This window comes from Homo sapiens, chromosome 22, assembly GCF_000001405.40.
Source record: "Homo sapiens chromosome 22, GRCh38.p14 Primary Assembly".
Taxonomy (NCBI): Eukaryota; Metazoa; Chordata; class Mammalia; order Primates; family Hominidae; genus Homo; species Homo sapiens.
Window position 1 is genome coordinate 38,199,918 of NC_000022.11, and position 17,566 is coordinate 38,217,483.

At 55.5% G+C, this 17,566-nt stretch overlaps 2 protein-coding genes across 7 annotated transcripts in view, besides 17 other annotated features; one reads left to right on the forward strand and one right to left on the reverse strand.

Moving 5' to 3' along the window:
• Positions 1,904–2,233: a silencer, noted in NCBI's record as "silent region_13707". NCBI's record gives its function as "represses an Ori minimal core promoter by ATAC-STARR-seq in GM12878 lymphoblastoid cells {active_cell/tissue: GM12878}" and the evidence as "EXISTENCE:reporter gene assay evidence [ECO:0000049][PMID:35858748]".
• On the forward strand, positions 2,077–16,594 carry MAFF (MAF bZIP transcription factor F). Of its 5 annotated transcripts, none has more exons than NM_001161572.2 (3): positions 2,077–2,321; positions 13,906–13,972; positions 14,503–16,590. In NM_001161572.2, the coding sequence occupies exons 2-3, from the start codon at positions 13,937–13,939 to the stop codon at positions 14,959–14,961; spliced, it is 495 nt and encodes a 164-aa protein (NP_001155044.1). In that variant the 5' UTR covers positions 2,077–2,321; positions 13,906–13,936; the 3' UTR covers positions 14,962–16,590. The 5 variants fall into 5 exon arrangements, with proteins under 5 accessions (NP_001155044.1, NP_036455.1, NP_001155046.1 ...); NM_012323.4 differs by having other exon boundaries at positions 2,077–2,295; NM_001161573.1 differs by lacking the exon at positions 2,077–2,321 and adding an exon at positions 3,103–3,167 and having other exon boundaries at positions 14,503–16,594.
• Positions 2,294–2,733: a silencer, noted in NCBI's record as "silent region_13708". NCBI's record gives its function as "represses an Ori minimal core promoter by ATAC-STARR-seq in GM12878 lymphoblastoid cells {active_cell/tissue: GM12878}" and the evidence as "EXISTENCE:reporter gene assay evidence [ECO:0000049][PMID:35858748]".
• Positions 3,584–3,663: a silencer, noted in NCBI's record as "silent region_13709". NCBI's record gives its function as "represses an Ori minimal core promoter by ATAC-STARR-seq in GM12878 lymphoblastoid cells {active_cell/tissue: GM12878}" and the evidence as "EXISTENCE:reporter gene assay evidence [ECO:0000049][PMID:35858748]".
• Positions 4,599–4,743: an enhancer, noted in NCBI's record as "145 bp 22:38600595 sequence used in MPRA reporter constructs". NCBI's record gives its function as "activates a minimal TATA-containing promoter with rs2267374 allelic activity by MPRAs in C283T melanocytes and UACC903 melanoma cells {active_cell/tissue: C283T | UACC903}" and the evidence as "EXISTENCE:reporter gene assay evidence [ECO:0000049][PMID:36423637]".
• Position 4,671: a transcriptional cis regulatory region, noted in NCBI's record as "rs2267374 or 22:38600595 MPRA-significant variant associated with a GWAS melanoma risk locus at 22q13.1". NCBI's record gives its function as "allelic transcriptional activity by MPRAs in C283T melanocytes and UACC903 melanoma cells {active_cell/tissue: C283T | UACC903}" and the evidence as "EXISTENCE:reporter gene assay evidence [ECO:0000049][PMID:36423637]".
• Positions 4,884–4,933: a silencer, noted in NCBI's record as "silent region_13710". NCBI's record gives its function as "represses an Ori minimal core promoter by ATAC-STARR-seq in GM12878 lymphoblastoid cells {active_cell/tissue: GM12878}" and the evidence as "EXISTENCE:reporter gene assay evidence [ECO:0000049][PMID:35858748]".
• Positions 7,583–7,727: an enhancer, noted in NCBI's record as "145 bp 22:38603571 sequence used in MPRA reporter constructs". NCBI's record gives its function as "activates a minimal TATA-containing promoter with rs71195093 allelic activity by MPRAs in C283T melanocytes {active_cell/tissue: C283T}" and the evidence as "EXISTENCE:reporter gene assay evidence [ECO:0000049][PMID:36423637]".
• Positions 7,648–7,665: a transcriptional cis regulatory region, noted in NCBI's record as "rs71195093 or 22:38603571 MPRA-significant variant associated with a GWAS melanoma risk locus at 22q13.1". NCBI's record gives its function as "allelic transcriptional activity by MPRAs in C283T melanocytes {active_cell/tissue: C283T}" and the evidence as "EXISTENCE:reporter gene assay evidence [ECO:0000049][PMID:36423637]".
• Positions 11,243–11,387: an enhancer, noted in NCBI's record as "145 bp 22:38607237 sequence used in MPRA reporter constructs". NCBI's record gives its function as "activates a minimal TATA-containing promoter with rs61328776 allelic activity by MPRAs in C283T melanocytes {active_cell/tissue: C283T}" and the evidence as "EXISTENCE:reporter gene assay evidence [ECO:0000049][PMID:36423637]".
• Positions 11,314–11,329: a transcriptional cis regulatory region, noted in NCBI's record as "rs199576315 (now merged into rs61328776) or 22:38607237 MPRA-significant variant associated with a GWAS melanoma risk locus at 22q13.1". NCBI's record gives its function as "allelic transcriptional activity by MPRAs in C283T melanocytes {active_cell/tissue: C283T}" and the evidence as "EXISTENCE:reporter gene assay evidence [ECO:0000049][PMID:36423637]".
• Positions 11,538–11,682: an enhancer, noted in NCBI's record as "145 bp 22:38607534 sequence used in MPRA reporter constructs". NCBI's record gives its function as "activates a minimal TATA-containing promoter with rs11450220 allelic activity by MPRAs in C283T melanocytes {active_cell/tissue: C283T}" and the evidence as "EXISTENCE:reporter gene assay evidence [ECO:0000049][PMID:36423637]".
• Positions 11,610–11,614: a transcriptional cis regulatory region, noted in NCBI's record as "rs11450220 or 22:38607534 MPRA-significant variant associated with a GWAS melanoma risk locus at 22q13.1". NCBI's record gives its function as "allelic transcriptional activity by MPRAs in C283T melanocytes {active_cell/tissue: C283T}" and the evidence as "EXISTENCE:reporter gene assay evidence [ECO:0000049][PMID:36423637]".
• Positions 12,231–12,375: an enhancer, noted in NCBI's record as "145 bp 22:38608227 sequence used in MPRA reporter constructs". NCBI's record gives its function as "activates a minimal TATA-containing promoter with rs2064103 allelic activity by MPRAs in C283T melanocytes and UACC903 melanoma cells {active_cell/tissue: C283T | UACC903}" and the evidence as "EXISTENCE:reporter gene assay evidence [ECO:0000049][PMID:36423637]".
• Position 12,303: a transcriptional cis regulatory region, noted in NCBI's record as "rs2064103 or 22:38608227 MPRA-significant variant associated with a GWAS melanoma risk locus at 22q13.1". NCBI's record gives its function as "allelic transcriptional activity by MPRAs in C283T melanocytes and UACC903 melanoma cells {active_cell/tissue: C283T | UACC903}" and the evidence as "EXISTENCE:reporter gene assay evidence [ECO:0000049][PMID:36423637]".
• Positions 13,889–14,470: an enhancer, noted in NCBI's record as "H3K4me1 hESC enhancer chr22:38609813-38610394 (GRCh37/hg19 assembly coordinates)". NCBI's record gives its function as "activates a minimal SCP1, AML or CMV promoter by ChIP-STARR-seq in naive H9 embryonic stem cells {active_cell/tissue: H9 hESC(naive)}" and the evidence as "EXISTENCE:reporter gene assay evidence [ECO:0000049][PMID:30033119]".
• Positions 14,466–14,515: a silencer, noted in NCBI's record as "silent region_13711". NCBI's record gives its function as "represses an Ori minimal core promoter by ATAC-STARR-seq in GM12878 lymphoblastoid cells {active_cell/tissue: GM12878}" and the evidence as "EXISTENCE:reporter gene assay evidence [ECO:0000049][PMID:35858748]".
• Positions 14,686–15,055: a silencer, noted in NCBI's record as "silent region_13712". NCBI's record gives its function as "represses an Ori minimal core promoter by ATAC-STARR-seq in GM12878 lymphoblastoid cells {active_cell/tissue: GM12878}" and the evidence as "EXISTENCE:reporter gene assay evidence [ECO:0000049][PMID:35858748]".
• The window catches only part of TMEM184B (transmembrane protein 184B), a 56,616-nt gene continuing 55,527 nt past the window's right edge, over positions 16,478–17,566 (reverse strand). For both annotated transcript variants that reach the window (XM_047441319.1, XM_047441316.1), the window contains exon 9: positions 16,478–16,797. In XM_047441319.1, the coding sequence (XP_047297275.1) occupies positions 16,781–16,797 (17 nt within the window). In that variant the 3' untranslated portion in view covers positions 16,478–16,780. The remainder of the gene's footprint in view (positions 16,798–17,566) is intronic.

Consider the following 17,566-nt stretch of genomic DNA (forward strand, 5'->3'; position numbering starts at 1 on the left):
AGGGACTGTGGGAGCGATGGAATTTCAGGCAGTGGGAACATCATGAGCAAAGGAAAGCAGGGGATGAACAGCAACATCCACCCCGCACGTGGCCTCCAAAGCCATCTCTTTTGGGTGGGGCTTCCCACCACGGCGCACACCCCTCATGTTTATGTGGCCCTCCTCCCCTGGTTGCGATGTACCCCCAAACATCTGGGCCAGGAATCATTCAGACCTGGATACCAATTCCAGTGCTTGTACTTCCTAGCTGAGTGAATTTAGAAAGTCACCTTCACCTCTCTGAGCCTCCAGTCATGTATTCCTTCAACATGTATTTACTGTGGGCCTACTATGTGCCAAGCACTACTCCAGGCACTGGGCAGGCAGTGGTGAACAAGATAAGCCTGGCCAGGCGCAGTGGCTCATGTCTGCAATCCCAACACTTTGGGAGGCCGAGGTGGGTGGCCTGAGGTCAGGGGTTCAAAACCAGCCTGGCTGGGCATGGTGACTCACCTGTAGTCCAGCTACTGGGGGGCTGAATTCCTTGAACCTGGGAGGCGGAGGTTGCAGTGAGCCAAGATTATGCCACTGCACTCCAGCCTGGGCAACAGAGTGAGACTCTGTCTCAAAAAAAAAAAAAGAAAAAGAAAAAGAAGCAAGGCCTGCCTTCATAAAACATACATTCTGGTTGGGGAAGACAGACAATAACCAGCACTCACATACATAAATGATGAAACACCCTACAGAAGTATTAAGATAATATAAGAACAAATTTCAAGGCTGGGTGCGGTGGCTTGCGCCTGTAATCCCATTACTTTGGGAGGCCAGCGTGGGTGGATTGCCTGAGTCCAGGAGTTTGAGACCAGTTTGGGCAACATGGCAAAACCCTGTCTCTACAAAAAAAAAAAAAAAAAAAAAAAAAAAAAAATACAAAAAATGAACCTAGCATGGTGGTGTGTGCTTATGGTCCCAGCTACTTGGGAGGCTAAGGTGGGAGAATGGCTGGAGTCCAGGAGAAGGAGGTTGCAGTGAGCCGAGATTGTGCCACTGCACTCCAGCCTGGGTGACAGAGTGAGACCCTGTCTCGAAAAAAAAAAAAAAATTCAGAGGTGAAGACTGCTTTAACCAGGGTGGTCAGGAAATGTCTCTCTGAGGCAGTGACATCCGGGCTGACGTGAAAGATGAGAAAGAGTCAGGCAAGTGAACAGAAGACCAGACAGCCAGTGCCAAGGGCCTGTCGCAGGAATGAGCTTGGTATGTTTGGGGGACAGAAAGAAGGGCACTGTGGCCGAAGAGCAGTGGATGAGGAGAGAGTGGCCAAAGAAGGTGTGTAAACAACCTGAGCTTTGTTTTGAGAAGAACATTGGCTGGTATAGAAAGAAAGACTTTGGAGGCAAAGTAGGGAGCCTCGGAGGCTGCTGCCATTGTCCGGGTAAGCTGATGGTGCCGAGACCAGGTGCCATGACTGGAGGTGGTGAGAAATGGTCCTATGCAGGAGACCTGGAGACACCGCTAGCTTGAGTCCTGAGGTGGGGAGGAAGGGAGAGGGAGGGATGGAGCCAGGCTCCAAGGTTTTGGCTTGAGCAGCTGAGATGGGGTGGCAAGGGAGCAGAGGTAGGGCTGACGATCAGGAGCGGGTTTTTGGGCCGAGTCCTCTGCAGTGCCCATCTGACACCCACTGGATGCGCAGAGTGGGCAGCTGGCTATGAGTCTGGAACTCAGAGAAGCTGTTCGCTCCGGAAATACAAACCTGGGGCTCATAGCCATATAAATGTCATTTAAAGCCACGGGACTGGATGAGATCATTAAGGCAGAAGGTCTAGGTCGAAAGAAGAGGGCCAGGACCACTACCTGTAAAATGAGCCAATGACACCTACACCCACGGGGCTCTCGCGAGGTGTCACGTGAACGCACCCAGCGAGCCCTGGAACCAGGCAGAGAATCGCGGCAGCCCCGGGGGCGGGGCTTCCAGGGGGCGGGGTCATACGGGGGCGGGGCCGAGGGACCAAGCGGCCGCTCCTGGCCGGAGGGCGGCCGGGTCGGTGACGTCACCGCATGACTGGGTTTTTATGAATGAAAGGAATCCTGTGAGTGAGTAATTCCGGGAAGCTCGCCTTACAACTCCGCGCGGCCTCGGCCCCCTGCGCCGCCCGCCCCACAACAAAACTCAGCGCAGCGCTCCCGGGCGCCCGGTTCAGAGCGACCTGCGGCTCAGAGCGGAGGGGAGACTGACCGGAGCGCGGATCGGGACAGCGGCCGGGACAGCGGCGAGACGCGCGTGTGTGAGCGCGCCGGACCAAGCGGGCCCAGAAGCGGGTGAGGAACGCGGGACCAGGAGGACGGTGCGCGGGACCCCAAGGCGGCAGGGTTTCTGCGTCCCGGGATGCGCCTGGGGTGGGCGCCCGGGCCCGATCCGTCGGGGCTCCCGGAGCTCCATCGCCCGGACGGCTCGGGGCGGGGAGAAGGGAGCGGCCGTCCCGGGGACGCCGAGGACGGGGCCGAGGCCAGCTCGGGGGAGTGGGGGTGGAGACGGGGCCCCTTCCCGGGGCGCGGGCGGGTAGGCGGCGGCGCCGGGAGGAAGGGGCAGCGCAGGCCGGCGATCTCCGCGTCCGCCCGGCGGGGGCGGGGGCGCTGTGCTCCTACGTGACTCGGTGGGAACAGGCCCTGGCCCGGCGCCCGCGGGCGGTGCGTGCGCGGTTTGTTTACGTCCGAGGGCGGGCGTGTGTTCCCTGGCGGGCGGCCTGGGTATCCTGCCCGGTGCGTGCGTGCGCTGTGTACCTCGGGGGCGTGTGTGCGTGTGTTGTGCTTGTGTGTGCGTGTCCGCGCGCGCGCTCCCTGGGGCCTGTACACCAGCAGTGTGTACCTCGGAGAGGGCGTGCCCTGGGCCGGCCACCGGAGTAAACGCGGAACAAGGACCCGAGCGAAGGAAGCGGACCCGTGCGTCTTCGCACGGGGTCTGGGAATTCTGGCCCGGGCCGCCCCAGTCCTACTACCCGGGGCTGTCCGTCCCCGGCTCTCCCCGGAGTTTCCCAGGGCCTCCGCCACGTGACCCCAGTGTTTGTCTCCCGCCCAGAGCCCGCGCCCGCAGCCACAGGGTGGGGCAAGGTATCAAAGACCCCACCCAGCTGAGCTAGGAGTGAGGGATGTGAGCCACCCCCGCTTGGCACCCCGGTGGATCTGGTAACAAAGTGAGTTGGAGCCCAGGTTCTTGTCCCCAGATTTTGGGGCTTCCTGGGGAGGGAAGAACCAAGGGACTCTCGTTCGTCCCCAGGGTTGCCCATCCCCTCAGTCCCATGAGAACAGGAAGGGCCAGAAAACCTTGACTGCAAGGGTGCGGCGCAGGGAGAGGACCACAGGCTTTTAGCTAGTCCGGGTTCTGGAGGCTGTACCTGCTAGGTCGTGGAGGATGGGGCGGAGCCGGTTTCCGCTCTCCTGGTAGTTTCAGTTCACAAGTGGGACTGGTGAGACTAGACTGACCTACAGCTGGACGCCGGAAGCTAGCTGAGGCTCTGAGCCAGCCGACAGACCCCGAGTGCCCTCACCCTGGGCCAGGCAGGGTCAGTAGGCATTGGGGATAGAACTCTGACTGCACGGAGGGTTAATGAGTGAGGGGTGGGGCCTGACCTAGCCGCCACCCACCCACTCACCCAATAGCCCTGCAGAAAGCACCTGTTTGTCGTAGCCGCCTGCAGGATGGGCTGGGGGCTAGAGATTCCTTGGTCTTAATCCACCTTCCCCCTCCACCCACCCACCCACGGTCTATGGAATTGTGGGAGGGGAGCAATTGAACTTGCTAGGGTGAGGAACCAATGATCTTTTGACTTTGGATCTTTGAACCCTGGGTGAGCTCTGCTACAGCAGCCCGGACCCTCAGTATTCCCATCTACCACTGGGAACTAGGTAACAGCCAGGATGGCAGGATGGTGGGTAGAAGGGGGAAGCTCTGGAAGTCTGTGCAGACAGCGTATTTTCCAGGTGAATTGTGGAAGAGAAAGCAGGGCTGACAGCCCCATGCCAGGAGCTGGGGGTACCCAAGAGTAGGTGGGGTTTGAGTCAGGAGGGTTGGGGCCAGGAGCACAGGAACCAGACAGGCCCACCCTCAAAGCTGGGCAGGAAACATTACAAAGTAGGGCCTGGGGTCAGGGGATGAGGGGAAGTGGCTGGTTGACTCAGTCCCAGATGGAAAGTTAGCACTGAGAAGTTTAACTTCCCATTGAATCACCCCTGGGCCCTGCATTGCCATTGGGCCCTTGTCCTGGACCAGATGCCAGGGATGAGATGAACAGACCAGATCCAGAGACTGCCCTCTGGGAGCTTATAGCTCAGCAGCGGACACAAACTTGAAAAAAGATCCACAGAAGTAAATGCAAAACACAGCTTAGATGGGTGATGTGAGGGAGAAGTCACTGTGGTTTGAAAGTACATAACAGCGCTCTGACTTAGCCAGGGCAATCAAGGAAGGCTTCCCTGGGGAGGTGACTAGTGTGCTGAGTCTGATAGAGTGGTGGTTGTCTGTGAAGCCCTTGAAGGCAGGAGCTGTGATTCACTTCAGGGTCTCCAGGGCCCAGCACAGAGCCTGGAACATAGTAGGTGCTTCTTGGATGTTTGCTGATTGAATGAATGAGCCCTGGATCCCTGCCCTCTAAGAGCTCCACAACACATGGAGAAAAAGGCCTGGGAACCCCAGAGAAACAGGAAGCCAGGGCAGGGGCTGGGGGAATCTTGAAGCAGTCTCCCAAAAGCGAGCAAATCCTTCAGGACTCAGGCAACTTCCTCCCTCACACACACAGGCATGCACTGCCCGCTTGTCCCTTTGGGAAACATTCAGGGATAGTAGAATTTGCTGTCTGTTCATTCATCTGTTAGCATACGATCCTGGGAGAGAGTGGACAGGAATACGGTTGAGGCCTGAGGACCCTACTGTGTTGGCTTGCGGGGAGGCTGGCATTGCAGGGTTTTGAAATGGGCCAAGCACGGACAGGCTCGTGGGTTTGTGTCAGTAGTGATTCCTCTGACAGCTCTTGGGGGAGGATCAATGATGGGGATTGGAGACGGAGGGCAAGGCAAGAGGCTGGTGAGCAGGCGGTTGTGGTCATGGTCCAGATGAAGGAGGAAGTGGTCTGTGGCTGTGCAGGTGGAGAAGAGGGCTAGTCTGATAGTCTGATAGTTTGTGTCTCATGCCCCCACCTCCAGGAAGCCTTCACCGCTTTCCTTTCCCTACCTCCATTCTGCTGGTGGTCTTGGAGCTCTGGGCCAGAATCTGAAACTCTAAACTCAGAGACAGTCATTGTTGGAAGGTACCTTAGGCTCGGAGGACGTTTGGCATAGTGGGAAAACTGAGGCCCAGAGAGAGGGAGTGCCGTACCTGAGGCCACACAGCGAGTGTGAGAGGGTACCTGAACTGGGGCTGGAACCCCAGGCCGTTGCTTCTCTGTGGTGCTTGGTTCTTCCAGCCTTGCTCCCCTTCCAGCAGGGAGGAGGCTCCAGCAGTGCTGACTGCCAAGAGCTAGGAAAACACATTTTTTCCCTGTCCTCACAGAGCGAGCAGAATGGCTCAGCAGCCAGAAAGGAGCCCATGCCAGCGGGTGGGCCTTCTACAGGATGTCTCTGGAGTGGACTGGTGGGGCCAGGGAGGGGGACGTTGGAGGGTTGTGGCTGCTGACTGGACAAGGCAGTTGTCAGTCCCTCAAGAGTCACCTCTCTCCTTATGCCTCCAGAAGACGTCATGAACCTGCAGACCCTGGAGGTCAGCTCTGCTGGCTTCCAAGGGAAGAAGCCAGGGAGAGGTGGTGGTGGCCGACATAGAAGACAGAGGACCCCTGGGTTCCAGTCCGCCACGGCTACCAAACAGTGGCTTGGTTGCCTCAGGTGCTGAACAGGGGATCGGATCAGCTACTATTTCTCAGGCCCAGGGTCAGCCAGCCTGGCAAAGGCAGAGGACCCAGGCCCCTTGGCAGCCCCTGGCCTGGGGTTGGCAGCGGAAAGCCTGAGGTTACCAGAAAGTTCCCCCTTCTTGTGACTTTCCCCCTGTGATTGCCTGACTGCTGAGCTAGGACATTCCTGGGCAAACGTGGGTGCCTCAGCTGACATCCAGGATGCGGTTGAGGGGGCTGAGGCTCGGACAGGAGGGCATGGAGGAGTGGGGGAAGAGCAGGTTCAAAACCTTCCTAGCACCTGAGGGTATTTACAATCACAGCCAGCTTCCGCTATTATCAAGGATAGGGAATGGCTGATGGTTCCATCTCTCAGGCCTGGTCTGGAGGCAGTGTTGAGGATTCTAGGCTGTGTCCAAGCTCAGGAGAAAACAGTTCTGTGCTGAGAAAGACTCAGGGGCTGTGGCCTGCCTCACTGGGAATTGGTGCTGTGTGTGGTTAGTGATGTCTCTGTTGCTTGTGGATAGTGGGATGATGGTGAGATGAGGTGATCTTTCTTGCCTATGCCTCCTTTTTTTTTTTTTTTTTTTTTGATGGAGTCTCGCTCTGTTGCCCAGGCTGGAGTCCAGTGGCTTGTTCTCAGCTCACTGAAACCTCCACCTCCCGGGTTCATGCAATTCTTCTGCCTCAGCCTCCCAAGTAGCTGGGACTATAGGTGTGCGCCACCACACCTGGCTAATTTTTGCATTTTTTTTTTTCTTTAGTAGAGACAGGATTTCACCATGTTGGCCAGGCCGTTCTTGAACTCCTGGCCTCAGATGATCTGCCCACCTTGGCCTCCCAAAGTGCTGGGATTACAGGCGTGAGCCACCACGCCTGGCCTTGCCTAAGCCTTTATATTTTACACACCAAGATTATTGTGATTATTCCCACTTAGCAAGGAATCCAGGACTCAGGAAAAATGACTTGTGCATGAGGCCAGACTGTGCCTCTGAGGTTCTGTATCAGCCGCAACACCCAAAGGGCAGTTGATTAACTTGCGTGGGGAGAGGCTTCCCTTCTCCCATTGGGTCTTTCTGTGTAGCTCAGGTGGCCAAGCATCACTGCACGTGCCAGCTCCCCAAACGGCTGGTAAGGGGGCCTGGATACTTAACTGTAACTTGCAAATCGTATCCCTAGCGGGCCCAACACAAATCCTGGAGAATCAGAGCTGGGGTGGCCTTGGAAACTGGCAAGTCCAGCTTCATCTTCACAGGGCTAGGGAAACAGGGCCCAGGGAGGTCGCCCTGCCAGGGCCACACAGGGAGGAGGTGTGTGGCTCCATGTGGCCTCAGGCCTGAATTCTATTATTATTATTATTATTATTTTTGAGATGGAGTCTTGCTCTGTCACCCAGGCTGGAGTGCAGTCGCGTAATCTCGGCTCACTGCAACCTCTGCCTCCCAGGTTCTAAGCGATTCTCCTGCCTCAGCCTCCTGAGTAGTTGGGACTACAGGTGTGTGCCACCAGGCCCAGCTAATTTTTTGTATTTTTAGTACAGACAGGGTTTCACTGTGTTAGCCATGATGGTCTCAGTCTCCTGACCTCATGATCCGCCCACCTCGGCCTCCCAAAGTGCTGGGATTACAGGCATGAGCCACCTTGCTTGGCCATCTTTTTTTTTTTTTTTTTTTTTTTTTTTTTTTTTTTGAGACAGAGTCTCGCTCTGTCACCCAGGCTGGAGTGCAGTGGCGCGATCTCAGCTCACTGCAAGCTCCATCTCCGGGTTCACGCCATTCTCCTGCCTCAGCCTCCCCAGTAGCTGGGACTACAGGCGCCCACCACCACACCCGGCTAATTTTTTTTTTAAGAGGCGGGGTCTTGCTTTGTCACCCAGGGAGTGCAGTGGCGGGATCACAGCTCACTGCCGCCTTGAATTCCTGGGCTCAATGGTTCCTCCTGCCTCAGCCTCCTGAGTAGCTGGGGCTATAGGTGTGCACCACTGCACCCGGCTAATCTTTTTATTTTTTGGAGATGGAGTCTAGCCATCTTGCCCAGGTTGGTCTTGAACTCTCAGGCCTGAATTCTACCCCATGCTGGCTGTATGAGCCTGGACTACTCTATTGTCCTCTCTGGGCATTACCTCAGGGTTGGGCGAACCAGGGAGGTGACGGTGTGAAGGGACCAGGTTTCAGTCCTGGGCCTTTGCAGCTATTCATTCACACCTATTGTGTGACTTCAGGCAAGTGCTGCCCCTCTCTGGGTCTCTACCTCCCCTTGGGTAAAGGGAGGAGGCAGGACCTGATGGCCTCTAAGGGCCTTTCCTGCAGTTCCCTGTGTGACCCCAGCCAGCTGGGAGATGCTAAATCAGAGCGAGACCCCAGTGCTGGCTACAGGCCTGACCCCTCCTGGACAGACAGCAATTCTAACCTCCCAGCTGCTCACTGACCTCTACAGTGTATACCACTTGATTCCACCAAAACCCTGCGAGGCAGGTATTGTTCCGATCCTTTAGATGGGAAAGTGGAGACCCAGAGAGATGGAGTGGCTCACCCCAGGTCACACAGCCTGAGAAAACAGAGATGCGACTTAAACCCAAGCTTGACTCCCAATCCAGTGCTCCTTTCCCTGTTTCCCACACCCCACCTTTGGGCCCAAAGTCACGTGGATGGGATCCCCTCTGCTCTCTTCCCATTCGCCTAGCATCTGTACTGTCTCTGCCAACAGGCCCAAGGAAGCAGCTGGAGAGGAGGAAGAATTAGAGACAGGGCCAGGAGGTACTGAACTACGTTTCGGCTTGGAACCCGGCTTGGTGACAAGCTGGGTGATGGCGTCAGAGACTCTGACCATCCACCCTTCCCCAGTGCCTGCTCCCTGCCAGGTCTTGAGATGGGTGGCCTCAAGCACCCAGAGCTGACTCAGCCTCTCCCTGTCTGGTGGAGAGACAGCAAGGAAATACAACCCATTACACACAGGGGTGGGGGTCCCTAACAAGTCCTAGGGATCAGGGAGGGCTTCCTGGAGGAGGAGATGTCTGCACCCAGGGCCGAAGGATGAGTAGGAGTCTGCCAAACAAAGTAGAGGGGAGTGAGGGGAGAGAAATATCATGGGGTGGGAGGTGGCTCAGAGGCAAGAAAGCGCGGGTGGGAGGAAGTGAAAGAAATTCTGTGTGGCTGGAGCACAGAGTGGAGGTGGCAGTGGTGGGAAATGGGCGTGGGGCTGGACACACAGGGCCTGGGGTGCTGGGAGGGTGGGTCTGGACTCCATCCTTAGGATAGTAGGGAACCATGGAAGGTTTTTTTTTTGTTTGCTTGTTTGTTTTTGTGTTTGTTTTTGAGATGGAGTATCACTCTGTCGCCCAGGCTGGAGTGCAGTGTCGCGATCTCGGCTCACTGCATGCTTCACCTCCCGGGTTCACGCCATTCTCCTGCCTCAGCCTCCTGATAGCTGGGACTACAGGTGCCTGCCACCACACCCGGCTAATTTTTTGTATTTTTTAGTAGAGACGGGGTTTCACCATGTTAGCCAGGATGGTCTCAATCTCCTTACCTTGTGATCCGCCCGCCTCAGCCTCCTAAAGTGCTGGGATTATAGGCATGAGCCACCTTGCCCAGCCGAACCATGGAAGGCTTTAATCTGGCTGGTGGCATGGTCAGATTCGCGTGGTGCAAAGATTGTCCAGCTGCTGTGTGGGAATGAGCTGAGACCAGCAGGGAGGTGTGCTGGGACCTCCCCAGGTGTGTGTAGGGTGGTGAGGGTGACCACTTAAGAGGCCTGCATTGGGTTGGGCGTGGTGGCTCACACCTGTAATCCCGGCACTTCAGGAGGCCGAGGCAGGTGGATCACCTGAGGTTAGGAGTTCGAGACCAGCCTGACCAATATGGTGAAACTCTGTCTCTACTAAAAATACAAAAATTAGCTGGGCGTGGTGGTAGGCGCCTGTAGTCCCAGCTATTCAGGAGGCTGAGGCAGAGCTAATCGCTTGAACCCAGGAGGCGGAGGTTGCAGTGAGCTGAGATCCTGTCACTGCACTCCAGCCTGGGCGACAGAGCGAGACTCCATCTCAAAAAAAAAAAAAAAAAAAAAAGGGAAAAAAAAAAGGCCTGCATTGAAAGGTAGGATCGGTGAGGTTGACATGTAAACGTCTCCAGATAGTATCTGAAAGGTCAGGGTAGCCAGCAGATCTCATATGACTTTTCCAGGTAGGATGGGAGTGCACAGAGGCCCCCAAGGAGAGCTAGGTGGGCAGCCAGGGCCTGAGCCCCCTAGGATTTGGAGTGCTAGGCAGGGAAACTGAGGCCAGAGCCCAGGCTAAGCCGGCATGTTCAGCAGTGGGGGGTCGCAGCTCAGGGGTCACCCCATGAAGCCACTGGTCTTCACCGTGGATCCGCACAGGGGTCTAAAGCTGCCTGGGTCCTGACCTGGCACTCTGGGTCCACCCAGCTACCCCCAGCGAAACCTGGGTGACCCCTAAGACTCTCCTGCTTAAGGGCCACAGTGGCTGCCCCTGTCAGGGGATCTCTGCAAGCGCCAACTTCCTTCTGTCCCACTCCTTCCTTCCCTGTGAGCTGCCAGACCCCCTGACTGTGTGGGCTGGGAGGAGCTGGGGAGTTTCCTGAGAAGCCCTGGACTGTCCCCACCTTGGCCTGAGTCACACTGAGAACTCAGCAAGGATTCCTTGAGTATCTGCGAGGTGCCAGGCGCGGTTCTAGGCATGGGGGAGGCCGCGGTGAATCAGGTATAAGTTCTGCCCTCATGGAGCTGGCATTCTAATCGGGGGGTTGGGAGGGACAGACACTGAACAAATAACCACCATATATGTGAGTGATGACAATTACACATGGGGAAACCTGAGGTGGGGAAGGGACACAGGGAGTGTGTGTGTGTGTGTGTGTGTGTGTGTGTGTGTGTGTCCGTGTGTGTATCAGGGGTTGCAAATTCTAAACTGAGTGAACATGAGATTTGAAGAGACCTCAGGAGGTGATGGAGCAAACTTTGTGGATATCTAGGGAACAAGGATGCCAACAGAGGCCATGCGTCGTGGCTCATGCCTATAATCCCAACACTTTGGGAGGCGGAGGCAGGCGGATCGCTTGAGCCAAGGAGTTCAAGACCAGCCTGGGCAACATGATGAAACTCTGTCTGTACAAAAAGTACAAAAATTGGCCAGGTGTGGTGGCATGCACCTATAGTTCCAGCTACTAGGGAGGCTGAGGTAGGAGGACCACTTGAGCCTGGGAGTTTGAGGCTGCAATGAGCTGTGATCGTGTCACTGCACTCCAGCCTGTAACGGAGTGAGTGAGACCCTGTATAAAAAACAAAAACAAAAACAAAAACGCCAGCAGAGGGACCAGCCAGTGCAAAGGCCCTGGAGAGGAGCGTGCATCCTGTGTTGAGGAAGGGCGGGTGTGGCTGAGGCAGGGGAAACAAAAGGAAGCCAAGTAGGGCTGAGGTTGGAGAAGGGATGCTGGGGAGCACTTTCTTTTTTTTTTTTTTTTCAGACGGAGTCTCACTCTCGCCCAGGCTGGAGTGCAGTGGCACAATCTTGGCTCACTGCAACCTCCGCCTCCCGGGTTCAAGCGATTCTTTTGTCTCAGCCTCCCAAGTAGCTGGGACTACAGGCACGTGCCACCACGCCCGGCTAATTTTCGTATTTTTAGTAGAGACGGGGTTTCACCATGTTGGCCAGGCTGGTCTCGATCTCCTGACCTCATGATCCACCCGCCTTGGCCTCCCAAAGTGCTGGGATTACAGGCGTGAGCCACCGCGCCCGGCCACTGGGGATCACTTTCTGCAGCACTTTGTGGGCCATGGTGACAACTCTGGCTTTACTCCAGTGAGCCGTGGGAAGGTCCTGAGAGAGGTGTGACATGAGCTGACTTAACACAGCTACCTGTGTCACCCAGGGGGAAAGTGAGGCACAGAAAGAGTGGCTGACCTATCAGAACCACACAACTAGAGAGCGAGACCACCCCCAAAAGGCCCCAGGTGTGTCTGGCACCAAGGTCCATGTGCTTTCCATTTCTGCACCTTGTCCCTGGGAGACACCCCGGTCCTGCCAGAATGTGTCAGAGGCTGAGCCAACCCGTGAGGTCAACCCTGTAGACAGCTCAAGGAACCAGGACTTGGATCTGGCTTTTGCCCTCTGCTGTCCACAAAACTGGGTGATGCTCTTTCCGATACGGTACGTGTTTATAGGATGCTACAGCTCAGATCACAAAGCATCTTCCTTTGTTTTCTTTTTATTTATTTATTTTTTTTGAGATGGAGTCTCACTCTGTCACCCAGGCTCCCAGGCTGGAGTGCAGTGGCGCAATCTCGGCTCACTGTAACCTCCACCTCCCAGGTTTAAGCAATTCTCCTGCCTCAGCCTCTCAAATAGCTGGGACTACAGGCATGCACCACCACGCCTGGGCTAATTTTTGTGTTTTTGGTAGAGACAGGGTTTTGCCATGTTGGCCAGGCTGGTCTTGAACTCCTGAACTGAGGTGATCTGCCCGTCTCAGCCTCCTAAAGTGCTGGGATTACAGGCGTGAGCCACCGCGCCCAGCCTATCTTCCTTTATTTTCCTTGGCTTCTTATCACTGCCCCCTCCCCTTGGAGACAGATGAGAAAACTCAGGTTCTCATGGCGGAGAACCTGAGAGGATTGGCAAAGTAGATCCTATCAGCTAGAGACAGAGAGGACTGCTGCTTTAAAGGGGACTTTGGGAGATGGTCCCCTTCTCCAGCCCAGAGCAATGACCACTGACCCTCCACGAGTTTTATTCACCTTTTTCTCCCCATTACCAAGTACATGTTTGGCAAAGAGCTCAATAAATAGTTGTTGAAGGAGCATGTGGCTGTCAGGCCTGTGGGAGGGAGGATTAGGAGATGAGAGGCCCTCATTGGTCTAGGGATGGCTGCCCCATCTGCCTAGGGCATGCTGAGTTAGTATGGGGCAGCCCCCAGGAGGTTGGGAAAACTTTCCCAAAACAGAGGTCTAGATGAAGGAGGCCTGGGGAGAGAGGGGACTGGCTGATGTTGTATCTTACGGGGTGCTGGATGGGCTTTGTGTAAAGGCATTTACTGGTGCACATATGCTGTGTGTACTTTTCTGTATGTAGGTTATACTTTAAGAAAAGTTCTGAAAAATTGGCTGGGCACAGTGGCTCACACCTGTCCAGCACTTTGGGAGGCTGAGGCGGGTGGATCACCTGAGGTCAGTAGTTCAAAACCAGCCTGGCCAACATGGCGAAACCCTGTCTCTAAAAATAAAAATAAACTAAAAATACAAAAAATTAGCTGGGCGTGGTGACAGGCACCTGTAATCCCAGCTACTTGGGAGGCTGAGGCAGGAGAATCCCTTGAACACGGGAGGCGGAGGTTGCAGTGAGCCAAGATCGCGCCCCTGCACTCCAGCCTGGGTGACAGAGTGAGACTCTGTCTCAAAAAAAAAAAAAAAAAAAAAAAAAGAAAGAAAGAAAAAGAGAAAGAAAAGTTCTGAAAAATCAAATCAAAGGCACATGTCCAAGCCCCATGTGGAAGAATGGTCAGGAGAGGCACATCTATTCATTTGGTGCACACTTACTGAGCCATCTACTATATACCAGGCACTGATTTAGGCATATTGATGCCGTGGTGAGACAGGGAAGGCCTCTGCCTTCATTGGCTTCCGTTTTGGTGGAGGAGGAGTGGGAAGGAGAAACAAATCATAGATGAGGAACCAAGCATGAGAAATGCAGAAGAGGTGACTGTTACAAGGGTTAATAGGCGGGGTTATGTGATGTGACACAGAGGCGTTTAGCCAGAATGGTCAAAGAGGACCTCCTGAGGAGGTGACATTGGGCAAAGACCTAAATGATGAGGAGTCACCATGGGGCTAGAACAGTAAAGAGCACAGCCTGTGCACAGCTCCCGCGGCTGGAAGGAGCCATTCAAGGAGGCCTGTGGACCAATGTGGAGAGAGGAAGGTGGCAGGTATGAATCAGTTCTAAGATAGCAGAGGCCTTGAATGGCAAGGTAGTGAGTTTGGATTTTATTCTAAATGGGAAACCAAAAACAAAACAGTGACTTTGACCTCCTTTCTACCCTAGGTCTGCAGCCCAGAGGGCACCTTCTGCAAACATGTCTGTGGATCCCCTATCCAGCAAAGCTCTAAAGGTGAGGAGGCAGCCTCTGTCAACCCAGTGAAGCCCTCCCTCCCTGCCCATGCAGAGCCTCCTCATCCCAACTTCCCCTTCTTTCCTGGAATCCCCTGGGTGGCTCAGCAGGCACCAGGCCTTCATGATGCCAAAGGGAAGGGCCACAGCCATGGGCTGGGACCAGGAGGCCTGGGCTCTGGTCACAGGCTGCATGTCCCTGGGGTAGGTCACTTCCCTCTCCAGGCCTCCTTCCCCATCGGGTCAATGTCCCCTGGGGCATTCAAAGGTGCTTTCCGACCTGGGTTTCTCTGGCTGAGTCCAGGGCTTGGCGCTAGGTTAGAATTCAGGCTGAGCCCCGGGGTGGCCTCCTTTTGTGTCCCGATCCTAGTCTGGCCCGGTTTCCCCTTCCCGGATTCCTGCTCCCCTTCGGGGTTTTGGATCAAGTCCACCCACCACCTCGGCGGCTAAGGCGGTGAAAGAGGAACACCGCGGGTGGAGCGGGGGGGCCCGTCCCCAGTCCCCTGGACCTCAGTTTCCTCATGCCCGCAGATCAAGCGAGAGCTGAGCGAGAACACGCCGCACCTGTCGGACGAGGCGCTGATGGGGCTGTCGGTGCGCGAGCTGAACCGGCATCTGCGCGGGCTCTCCGCCGAGGAGGTGACACGGCTCAAGCAGCGGCGCCGCACACTCAAAAACCGTGGCTACGCCGCCAGCTGCCGCGTGAAGCGCGTGTGCCAGAAGGAGGAGCTGCAGAAGCAGAAGTCGGAGCTGGAGCGCGAGGTGGACAAGCTGGCGCGCGAGAACGCCGCCATGCGCCTGGAGCTCGACGCGCTGCGCGGCAAGTGCGAGGCGCTGCAGGGCTTCGCGCGCTCCGTGGCCGCCGCCCGCGGGCCCGCCACGCTCGTGGCGCCGGCCAGCGTCATCACCATCGTCAAGTCCACCCCGGGCTCGGGGTCTGGCCCCGCCCACGGCCCGGACCCCGCCCACGGCCCGGCCTCCTGCTCCTAGTGCCCGCCCCCGCCATGCCTCAGCCACGCCCCTCCGGCCTCAGCTCCCTCCCCAAAGTGCCTGAGCGCCGCCTCTGTGCCCAGGTCCCATTTCTCTGCAGCACTGGCCCCTTGGTGCACACACATTCCCTTCGTGGGCCCTGTCTTCCTCTTGCAGCCCCCCAAACTGGGACCGAATGACCCTGGGAAGGGGAACTTGGGTAGGTTGGGGATGGGGCAGAGGTCTGGATCTGGGATCGCCCTTGGCTGAAAGTTTAGCCTTTTTAGATTGAGAGATACAGAGCCGGCTTAGAGAACAGCTGTTGGGGGAGAAGAGGGCACCCCTCATCTTGGAAACTGCTCTTATTGTGCCAATATGCCCTCCAAACCCTCCCAGGATTCAAAGCTAGGTTTGGCTGTCTGTGACTTACGGGACCGTCCTGCTGAGAAATTGCACTGAAGAGATGCCCCCACCTCTGGTTGGGCCTGGGGGTGCCTGGCCTTCCGAAACTAAAAGAGTGGGTGGGAAGACTAGTGAAACCCAGTTCACGGATGGGGAAACAGGCCTGAGGTCACATTTCACTTAGTGGTTGTGTTGGGACCAAAACCTGGGTGTCCTCACTGCTGCCCTGAGTCCAGCCATGGTTTTCAGGGGGACAGTGGACAGGGACTCAGAAATGTGGTGGGAGGGCCTCCCTGGCTTGGGAGACCGCTCTCTGCAAGGGAGGGGGAGAGAAGCAGAGGGAGAGAGAAGGTGACACGGATGGAAGAGTGGGAAGGAGCTGGCCTGGCTCAGCCCTAGGCTGTCCCTGCAGCCAGGGTGTCCGGGGGCTGGCCAGTCAGAGAAAGGGGGCCATGGACTGCTGTGGCAAATAGGGAGACAAGGAGACAGACCCTGCAGTCCTACTACAGTCTGGAGTGGGGTCCTAAGAAGAAGGGTCCCACCTCAACCCCTGTCAGTGTCCACTGTGGGGTGGGGGCTGACCCCTGCCTTTGATTGTCATTCTCCTGGGAAGCCCAGTCTCAGTCCCTCCCCCAACACTGTCCACACTGCCCCTCCCCACTGTTTATTTATTGCACGGATCTAAGTTATTCTCCCCAGCCAGAGCCCGAGCTCCTGCTCCCTGGGAAAAGTGGCGTATGGCCCTGAGCTGGGCTTTATATTTTATATCTGCAAATAAATCACATTTTATCTTATATTTAGGGAAAGCCGGAGAGCAACAACAAAAAATGTTTAAGCCGGGCGCGGTGGCTCACATCTGTAATCCCAGCACTTTGGGAGTCCAAGGAGGGGGATCGCTTGAGTCCAGGAGTTTGAGACCAGCCTGGACAACATGGTGAAACCCCATCTCTACAAAAAATACAAAAATTAGCCATGCATGGTGGCTCATGCCTGTAGTCCCAGCTACTTGGGAGGCTGAGGCAGGAGGATCACTTAAGCCCAGAAGGCAGAGGTTGTAGTGAGCTGAGATCGCACCACTGCACTCCAGCCTGGGCAACATAGCAAAATCCTGTCTCAAAAAAAAAGTTAAAAAATATTGCCCGGCTCCTAGAATTTATTTATTTCCTGACTTACAGCAAGCGAGTTATCGTCTTCTGTATTTTGTAGACTTTCTAAATAAAGTCAAATTCTTTCTTTTTCCACAGAGAATAAATGTGTATCCTGGACTATGTTTTTTGGCGAGGGGTGTCTAAAATGGGGTTCTGCTTTCAACCCCTTAGGGCTTCTGGTGGCGGGGAGGGCTAGTGCACATCACCAGCTATTGCACAGGGTATGAGGTGGAGGGGAGATGGCGACAGAGACCAGTGATGCTGAAACTTCGATGCTTCCTCTTGGTTGCTTAGAGCACAGGAGCTCCTGGGAAGACAAAGCCATGGGCACAATGAAATTTAGGACTGGATTCTGGCGGAGCATGGTGGCTCACACCTGTAATCCCAGCACTTTGGGAGGCTGAAGCAAGAGGATCATCTGAGACTAGGAGTCCAAGAGCAACCCGGGCAACATAGTGACACCCCATCTCTACAAAAAATAAAAAATAATTAGCCACATGTGGTGGTACACATGCCTATTGTTCCAGCTACTGAAGAGGCTGAGGTGGGAGGATCACTTGAGGCCAGGAGTTTGAGACCAGGCTGGGCAACATAGCAAGACCCCCATCTCTACAAGAAATTTAAAAGTAAGAAAACAGGCCGGGCGCAGTGGCTCACACCTGTAATCCCAGCACTTTGGGAGGCTGAGGCGGGTGGATCATTTGAGGTCAGGAGTTCAAGACCAGCCTGACCAACATGGTGAAACCCCGTCTCTACTAAAAATACAAAAAACAACAACAACAAAAAAAAAACATGGCCCGGGTGCGGTGGCTCACGCCTGTAATCCCAGCACTTTGGGAGGCTGAGGCAGGCGGATCACGAGGTCAGGAGATCGAGACCATCCTGGCTAACACGGTGAAACCCCGTCTCTACTAAAAATACAAAAAACAACAACAACAAAAAAAAAACATGGCCCGGGTGCGGTGGCTCATGCCTGTAATCCCAGCACTTTGGGAGGCTGAGGCAGGCAGATCACGAGGTCAGGAGATCGAGACCATCCTGGCTAACACGGTGAAACCCCGTCTCTACTAAAAATA